This window comes from Homo sapiens, chromosome 13, assembly GCF_000001405.40.
Source record: "Homo sapiens chromosome 13, GRCh38.p14 Primary Assembly".
In the NCBI taxonomy this organism is placed as follows: domain Eukaryota; kingdom Metazoa; phylum Chordata; class Mammalia; order Primates; family Hominidae; genus Homo; species Homo sapiens.
Window position 1 is genome coordinate 37,101,666 of NC_000013.11, and position 10,045 is coordinate 37,111,710.

General features: G+C 38.1%; 1 protein-coding gene across 1 annotated transcript; it reads right to left on the reverse strand.

Moving 5' to 3' along the window:
- Window positions 1–1,593: 1,593 nt before the first annotated feature.
- CSNK1A1L (casein kinase 1 alpha 1 like) lies at window positions 1,594–3,999 on the reverse strand. Its single transcript, NM_145203.6, has one exon. The coding sequence runs from the start codon at window positions 3,589–3,591 to the stop codon at window positions 2,578–2,580; it is 1,014 nt and encodes a 337-aa protein (NP_660204.2). The 5' UTR covers window positions 3,592–3,999; the 3' UTR covers window positions 1,594–2,577.
- Between the last annotated feature and the right edge of the window lie 6,046 nt (window positions 4,000–10,045).

The window sequence follows — 10,045 nt, forward strand, 5'->3', positions numbered from 1 at the left end:
GTAGCTGGGACTACAAGGTGTCCACCACCATGCCTGGCTACTTTTTGTATTTTTTAGTAGAGATGAGGTTTCACCATGTTGCCCAGGCTTGTCTCAAACTCCTGACTTCAGTTGATCCATCCGCCTCAGCCTCCCAAAGTGCTGGGATTACAGGCATGAGCCACTGTGCCCGGACACGTATACTCTTTTTTTTTTTTTATTTTCTTGTTTTACCCTCCCCAAAACAGAGACATTGAACAGTAGTTAGAATGGCCATCTCCCAACATTTAAAAAAACTGCACTCTCCAATGGGTGAACAAAGTAAAGAGCAGTAACTCAGAATTCAGCTGAGTAAGCCACTGTGGAGCCTTAAGTGGTGAGGTCTCCCAATATCACAGTGACGTGTCTTCAACTTATATCACCTTTTAGTGGAAAAACATAATTTAATTTTTGTGAAATGAGATTCATCTCTTGGCATGACTAGTAACAGCATTCACTGAATTTCACATTCTTCTTTTGTGAACTGTGAAGACAATGAATGGTATCTAGAAGAAAAATGGAATAATGATATACTAGGACAAAAACACCTATATTTTGTTTTACAAAGCTAACAGTAGTTTTAAATCTGCAACTTCATTATAGACCAACTATGCCACAACCTTTTCAAATGGCAAGAATGCAAAAATATTTCAGAATAAGTGCATACTGAATAAAAACACTGAAAAATATCTTGCTAGAGGGAGGTCAGGTTGGAAAAGTTACTACCAAAGCTAAATATTTTTCTTTTACATAAACTATACTCAAAAATAGCTTTATGAGACTGATTTCTGGAAAGGGCTTAATAGCTAAGAAACGAATACCTTAACTAACAAGGGTGGATAGAAAGAAACAAAGAAGCTTCCTACCCCCAACATTTGGATTTGTTAAGATTTCTTCAGCATTATAGTACTAATATATCCCTTAATGGCAGAATGTGGTAATCATGGAATTAATTATTGCTGAAGTAGTTTTCAAATGAAAAAGAGAAAAAAATAAATGAAACCTGACACAATCTGACCAAACGTGGCAATTTACAATTTCAAGGTTATTTTACAAAATGCCTACATTTACACAATAGGCTCCTGGCAGCATTTTCAGACAAATGTTCTTTTAATTTATCCTGACATGCTATAAGTGAATAAATTACACGATTTAAAGAATTAAAAGGAAAATGAGTTTTCCTTTATCTTGCATCAGAGAAAAAGAAAAGAACGTGCAAAAAGATTGAGAGGAAGAGCACGCACACACAGATAATTCAGAGAAGCAGACGGGGGTTAGGGAGGGTCAATGATCACAGAACCTCACAGTGTGCTCTCCAAGGGTAAAAGTCAACTGCTTATAGCCATTTCACAAGTATTTTAAACAACAATGTTTTGTAGTCAAACCCTTCAATGCTTGCATTCTTATTTGAAATCAGCCCAGCTATTAGTCAGTGGAAGAAGTAACAATACCAAGTTTTGGCAGGTGCAGTACTAGATATTTTACCACAAGTCATTAGAAAAAGAAAAATGAAAGAATACATTTCCCCTTCATACAAAACGATTATTTTAGAATAAAAACATTGAAAAAAGTTATATAATGAAATAAAATTTACTTGCAAGGGAATATCATGTAACAAATGGCTCGAAGTTGACTATCAAAAAATTGGGGAGATTTTTATTTCCTAGTGAATCAGCAAGGCATTTTTTGGTTGTTGTTTAAAAAAGTATTATTTCCTTATAGAAACAGTTTTCAGATTTTAGTGAACTTGTAAAACATAAAAGCTCCCATTTCAAAATATGAACAAAATCCCAGATCATATGGGTGTTTACGGTGATTACATTTATCTAAGCCATGTACATACATGTTCAGTTGTAAGATGTTAACTAAATTTCTGTGACAAATATGGTTGTTGTTGTTTTTAAAATACCGAGAACATGATATAGTTAATGTGGAATTCTAAAGATAATCTGGTAGTTACTAAGATTTTCTTATGTCTTCACAGGTAAGCAGGCGGAATCTTTCCTATTCTCAAAACTGGAATTTTTGGTTACTACTAGATCAGCTGGCTTACAGACAAGAAGCCAACCATTTTAAGAATGCTCTTTATGTGAACAATTTGCAAACCCCAGGGATGGAGAAACCCTAAAAATGCTCAATCATAAGCATTTACAACCTTTGCAGCTGTGGCTGAATACTGTCCTTCTGAAATGATATCTCAAAGCAGTCTAGTTCAAAATAAAAGGTTTTAACAAAAAATTGGCATATGGACAATGTCTCCACCAATTCGTGTGTGTCAACCATTTAGTTAACTTTTCTACTTGAATAAATGCAATAGAAAACCAGACACCACGTTTCACTACCTCAGTTAATATTCACAATTACAGAGGCTACACTTTGGGATACAGCATCACCAACGCTCCCCAGAGTCAGTTTATATTGAAATAAAGTTTTTTACACCAACTAAATGGTTGTTCACAGCCACTAGCTGGTGTACATATGAACTACAATTTCTAGATGTGGGGAGAAACAAATGCTGCTCGAATCATCTGCTCTGCTTCTTCTGTTCCTCATTCACGCTTAGTTATCTTTCACATTATTCTTGTTTTTTTCAGTTTGCTTGCCTGTCTGGGTTTGGGCCTGCTGACCCTGCCCACTGGAAGAGGCTGCCTGCTGTGCTGCTTTCTGCTTTAACATCGTCCAATCAAATGTGTAGTCATATTGGTGGTTCAGGGTCCTGAAAAGAATGCGGAATAGCTGCCTCAGATACATGTAATCTGGGACTTCCTCAAAGCGCAGCCCACGACAGTAGTTCAAGTACATGGCGAATTCTGCAGGAAACCCCTTACATAAAACTTCAACAGGGGTGGACATCTTCTTCTCACTAATCTTTTCATATTTTTGTTTTTTTGTCATAGCCCTTAGTCCTTGCCACGGCAGGCTGGTTCTATTAAAATACATGAAAACGTAGCCTAAGGATTCCATGTCATCTCGGCGGCTCTGCTCAATACCAAGATGTGCATTGATGCTGGCATATCGGACAGTGCCAATGAGGTGTTTATCTTCTCTGTACGGTATGTGTTGCCTGGTCCTGTTGTCTCTGTACTTTTTGGCCAAACCAAAATCAATAAGGAACAACTTATTACAGTGACGCCCAGTACCCATCAGGAAGTTATCTGGTTTAATGTCTCGGTGTAGAAAATTCTTTGTATGCACGTATTCAATTCTGCTGATCATCTGGTCGGCTAACATAAGTACAGTTTTCATGGTGAACCTTCTTGAACAGAAATTAAAGAGGTCTTCGAGGCTGGGTCCCAGAAGGTCCATGACTAGCACATTGTTGTCTTTTTCCTGACCATACCAGTGCATGTGGGGGATGCCAACCCCACCTTGAAGAATCGTGTAGAGTTTGCTCTCATACAGCAACTGGGGGTGCTTGACCTTCTGAGATTCCAGCTTCACTGCTACGTCCTCGCCGTTGGTGGTGGTGATGCCCAGATAAACGTCTCCAAAGGAGCCAGACCCGATCTTCCGCACCAGTTTGTATTTCCCTCCCACAACGAGTTCGGCTTTGGAGCCGCTGTTGTTTGTCATCCTGAGAGGCAAAGATGGAGGCTGGGCTCAGCCCTGACCCCTCTAGGGGAGGATGGAGGCCTCCGGGGCCCACCGGCCCGCAAGGCTGAGGATGAGGGCTGCTGGAAATGGCCACCGAGGCGTTTCCCGGTGTTACAGGGCGTGGAGTCAGCCTGATCCCTGCAGCACACCAGGATTTCCGCCAGGCCACAGTTTGCGAGGGTTTCTCAAGGTTCCAGGCTGGGCCACCACCTCTTTCTCGGTGGCGGTCGCTGCCTCGCTGTCGTGGCGATGTCGTGGGCTGAGAAAGGGGGCACAGCGAGTTGGGGCAGCAGTACTGCTGCCACCGCTACCAACGGCTGTGGGCCAGAGGGCCCGGTCACGCCGCCGGCGCCGCCATTTTGTTCCTCCACCTCAGCCAACCACAAATCGAGAATTTTTGGAGAAGCTGTTATTGTCTGAGACCTCTGTTAGGTGTTCCACTCATCTCACTCCATTTAAGACAAACTTGCTAGTCTTGTAAGGTAGCTATTATTTTCCCTGATTTGTTGGGTAAGAAAGGCTGAGTCTCAGGTAAGCGGCCTAAGGTTGCAAGAGATTGTGGGCGAGCTGGAATTCAAAACTGCCTAGGCTTAACTCGAAGCTCACCTTCTTTCAACTTAATCGTGCAGAAATGGGAGGCTTTTATAACAAAGATTTTCTTGTTTTCGGGCCCAGTCATTGTCCCATCTACTTCCTTAGCCATCATGTCTCCCTGGGTTAATGCGAGTCGGGGTGCCACCTCTTGAGGTTTTTCTGTGTGATCTCAGTGGTTGCTTCTTTAATGAGTTTAGTCAACAAGAGTTACTTACTGCTAGTTAAATTGAAATGTCTTTTTTTTTTTTTTTAAAGCGATCCTTTTGAAATTTTTTCATAGAGTGCTTTGAATTTAAATAGGATTCCACAGAGACGTTCTGGCAAAACTGACTAAATGAAGGATTCAAGTAAAATTTAACCAAAATATGGAGAAGAAACAGAAGCCGGCAGTTCTGAGCATTTTCTCAGAAGAACTGGGGCCAGCACTAGCAGAAAAAGCGGTACCATTTCAATATTTTTATGAAAGTTCACATCACAAATAACAAAACCCGTGCGATTATTTTGTTTTATGAGGAGATGGGATAGGAACTGAGTATAATCCTAACGGGGCAGTAGCAACGAATTTGGGGGCCAATGGCAGAAAGGCAGGAGAGAGAGGTGCAGCTTTGAAAGCAGGTATTCTCACTTTACTGTCTCACATAAGTTAGTGCTGTTAACTTTTCTGACCTGCATCAATCTATGGCGAGAGAAGGAGCTGGTTTGAGACATAGACGGGCATAGAACATTATAAAGTGCTTTAAAACATTTTTAAAGTCCACTTCAGACAAATATGTGAGGTGGGTAGCGCAGTATATTACTTGGCTTTGCAGCAGGAACAACTCGCAAATCTCAGTGGCTTACAATGACAAAGTTTATTTATCATTCAGGTTTTATGTAAGCTGTAGATCAGCTGCATCTCTGCTTCCTGTGTCCTCTTTGTTCTAGAATGCAGGCTGAAAGAGCAGCCTCCTTAGGAGCATGCTGTTCTCATAATAAAAGGAGTGGCAAATGTTACATTCCACTGGGCAAAACACATCACATGGCCAGGTCCAAAGACAGTGGGGTGAAAATACATACTCCTACCTCAGGTGGATAGTAATACAGTATACTGCTGGCATATTTTATTATTATGATTGTACTTCTCATTTTATACAAGTGGAAATCAAGGCATAGAGAGGTTAGATGAATTGCCCAAGACCACACTACAGACAAGTGTCAGAGGCCAATTTGAAACTGAATTCTGACCCAAGGTAGTTACTTTTTATACCGTACCAACTAGAATGGCATTTCTTTCATTTACTCATCCAACTTTGTTGAAATTTGCCTGGAGAACAATTTCCTTTCTAATAACCAAGAATAAAATTTATGTTGTTAACCCACTGCCCATTATGCTTCCTTCCCGTTCAGTCTTCCAGTCAATGGCTTCAACACGAACCTTGAAATTCAAATAATCTCTATGTGAGAGAAGTCACTATTCAAAAAAGTTACAGATAACCCATACATGGACAAAAGCTTGAATCAAAAAATCCCCTTTCAATTCTGGAACTAGAATAGTTTAATTATAGTTTATTTATTGTTTACTAAGTCCCATACTTTTTTGTACCAGTTAAATAAAGGCACTGTCTATAAAGAAGGTCAAGTGTAACTTATAATGGTGGTTGGGTGAACCTTCACTTACAGGGAAGTTGTGAGCATCTCCAGAATGGGGAGGATCAGTAACTGAAGTGATGATATGACCCTGAATAGCTTCCAATCCAGTCTCCCATGAATTCTCTTACCACAAGCCGGTGGGACTGCGGATTTTTCCCCGAACACATACTCCCTGCATTTTTTCATCTTTGGGTCTTGGCTTATGGTGTTGTTTCCTCAGCCTGAAATGCTTCCAGCCTGCTTTATCTTTCCCATCGCCCAGGTCTAATCCTAATAATCTCAGGGCTCTTCCTTAAATGCTGTTTGCTCCATGAAACCTTTTCCAATCTCCTCAACCAAATATAAATACTCTTTTTAAACCCAAACAACACTTTGCTTAAACTCTTGCATCCCCTCCTACCCTTTTGTCCAAAATTTTTCCATAAAAGATGTGCAACAAATAGTTTTTAAAATGGAAGTAAATTGAACTACTGTATTTCATAAAGTTTTGTGGACAGTGTGTGGGGTTGATGCATTCTTTATTTATTCATTCATTCAACAAATAGTTATTGAATGCCTCCTATTTGCAGGCATGAGTGACTCACCAAAGGTGGCATAGGTAGGTAATGATGGATTCAGAATGGAAATCCAGGATAGCCTGCCTCCAAAGCCAGTACTTTTAACCCCTACATAGACATCAACAGCCAGAGGCTCCTGAACGCTGGGTGGCTTCACTGTTGGGAATATATTAGTTCTGTTTCTTTTCTTTAATTGTATAAAGTATTTTACCAATGCATTTTAAAGCTATGATTTAGCCTTGATTTCAAAATTGCCTCTAAAATAATTTCTATTAATATAAGATGACCCCAGTAAAAGTAAAATAACGTATTCTGGGCAGGATTGTACTGGGTAGTATTGTACTGTTTAACAGCCAATTCGGGTTTTGTCAGTCCTGAACTTTATACAATTTTTTTTGTGGCCCTCTTTAAGAAAACAACAACAACAACAACAACAAGAACAACAACAAACAGGCATGAAATATTTAACTTAGGAAAAGAAATCATTGCAATTTACCTGAGTGTTAGAGGGTCAAGTCTTTTTTTTTATCCCCTAAGCTATCTTGATGCAATTGACCAGAAATTCTTACATAGAAATGCTTCCACATTGCAATCTGACTTCTCCTCCCCACCTGAAATACTTCACAACTCCTGTCCACTCCTAACACTTAGAAGGGACCTTGCAAAGGAGGCTTTATTCACTTCCCTGTAAGTCCGTGTCTGCTTTTGGCAATTAAGAAATGATACTCAAATGGCATTGGTTTTAGTCTCATATGAATTTTGGGGTTAATTTTCTGGGCTTCTTGGTATCTTTTCCCAGGAAATGGAGACACTTTAGTAGAATGGTCATTTGAGACACAAAAATTTCTTAGTTAAAAAAAAAAATTTTTGGCTATCAAATTGGGTCGGCAGTTGTCATTACAGAAACCATTTGGCATGAATATAATCTCCTTTTGGAACTATTTAAATAGAATACAAAATAAATCAAAATATGTTCTTAAATAAATAATGCTGTCACTAAGGGATTTACTGACATTTATGTGGCTCAAACACTATGTTCAGAATAACATTACCCAGAATCAATCACTTCAATTTTAAAAGATCCTGGAGATGACTAACTTTATAGAAGGATTTAAGTCATTTTTTCCTCAAAGCTTTTTGGAAGTATTGGCACTGCAAAGACAGTGAGACACTATTGGAAATGAGGTTATTTGGTGTAGTATCAAAAATCACAGCAGAGGGCGTCATTGTAATGTGCTGGATTTTTCTTTCTTCATGAAAGAATATTTTCTCCATGGCTCTGCATCTTTCTGTTCACTCATTTTGAAACTTGCAATATGTTTATCTGAAAAAAAGAAAACACTTAAATACCAATTTTACTATATTGAGAATGTAGGGTTCAATTTCAGCCTTAAAAATCATTACTTATTTTGTTTGGTTCCCATGAAGTTATTGCAATTCTGGCACCTTTCTGGACTTCCTTCCAGAGCAGTGAGGAGTTGTGTAACCTCTTTTACTTTTTCTTGCAGGTTGTCACCTTATTAAGACCATTCAAATTGTTGGCAGATCATTATGTGAACACATTCATTAATTATGTTACTTTATTCAAAGATCAGAAAAATTACATGAAAACAGTTCATGACATCACACTTATTGCATCTTCCAGTTCCTTTCAGTGAATTTTGCTTAAGTTCTAACAGCTATCTACTCTAATACAAAGAAAAAGCTGTAAGTTGTAATTATGTCAGATGTTCAAAATGAATGAGACTAAGTATAAATGATTCATTAATTTAGGTTGTTTTAATTATTTTATGGATTCATCTTGTGATTAGTTTGACTGTGATTAGGGTGAACAATGGATTGGAAAATAAAAGGATTGGCTGAACTACAGTTTAGTGCATCCTGAATGTGCATACACAGGCTTGCACTTAATCCCAGTGAAGTTCCTTTTTGACAATTTTGTCTAAGAGAGAGCATCTCCAGCAGAGTACAAATATTTTTTATAACTCTGGGTTCTGCAGTCAAATATATTTATTTTTCAAGTCTCAACCTGGTTCCTTATAATTATGTTCACAGAGATATTTAATTTTATCCAATCATCATACACTCTAACAGTACATGTCTAGCATCCTGTTTTTTTAAAAACAGTAGTCCTAATGATCTGTCAGAAAAGACATATTTTTGAGATAAAGGAGTTTCTAAATAATGAATTATTGTTTAGTACCAGCTTTTGGAATCCTTACATTTTAAGGAACTTGAATAATTTAAATATTAGATAATGTAACTCCTCATAAAAACAGTGTCTAGACAAGGGCCAATATTGCATTGAGATTGGATGAACATTTTATTTTGCATATAATTGTTGTCTATAAAACAAAATACTAATAATAATGGCTACCAGTTAGACAATTTAGAACATGTCTTACTATTTACCTTTGTGGTAAAACATTGCATGTTTTAATTTTTTTCTAATAAAATATTATACAATAACAAAACTGGACAATATTGTGAAAAACAACCATTTCAGGGCTCTTGAAATTCACCAAAGGCATACAACAAATTGAGAAGCAATTATTCACAAAAAAATGCTGAATGTAAGTTAGTAGGAGCAGTGGGAGTCTATGGTATTCTTATCTGGGGCTTCTCCTATCCATGTCTTCTGTACCCCATTCCCAAGGTGGATCTGTTGAGAAGTTTATGAGAGCACTGCTGAATATGAAAACCAGCAGCTTCCCTGCCAAAGGGGGATCATTCGGTTTGGCGCACAGTGTGGAAAAACTTCACACCCAGTGGTGTTGTCAGTAGAAATAGTGATCTTTGTGGCAAATGAAAGGAAAAGACTAGCTGTTCAGGTAGTCTGAAGTTACAGTCTTGGTTGCGGCAAACAATGGACTCGTAGACAAGCCTGGAAGTTAACAGGGAGATCTGAGAAATGATAGCCTTGGAGGGCCTTGCTAAGTTCTCCATGTATCTATGCAGGGGAGACTATGAGAGAATCCAAATAAGCCACATATCTTTGGCTAAGTGTGAGACAGGCCACAGAGGAGGTGCCACCAGAAGGCCTGGTGAGAAGTAATAGCCAAAGTCAACTTGACAACTGATTGAGTGAGTCAATGGCAAAACTTTCTTTGGATTATTTAACTGGTATTAAAAGACTATGCAAGGATTTTACAGTTTCTTTTATTTTTGTAAATTCTTCATAAATTTTAAATTCTAATTTATTGGAATATATTCTAATTTATTGGAATATATTCTAATATGAAGGAATACATATATTCCTTCATAATAATTAGGAATAATTTAGGAATACACTAGAATGGGGAAATGTTTTTTAATTTCTGAATTGTGACTCTCTGAGCTCATTCCCCATCTATAGATTAGAGCTCTTTATTGGCTTTACTACTTTTTTTAATTTTAGAGGAATAATATCTATGAGAACCTTGCAATATTAATAGTAGCTTACATTTATTGAACACCTATTATAAGGCAGACATTGTGCTGTGACTTTACACACATTTTATGTCATTTAATTCTCATACTGGCTTTATGGTGATGTTATTCCCTTTCTGGGTGCGGAAATTGGAGCTTAAGCAAAATAACTTTTCCAAGGTTATAACAGCTAAGAAGTGAAGTATGTGGAATGCACCTTGGCAGTCTGATTCCTGAACTCAGAT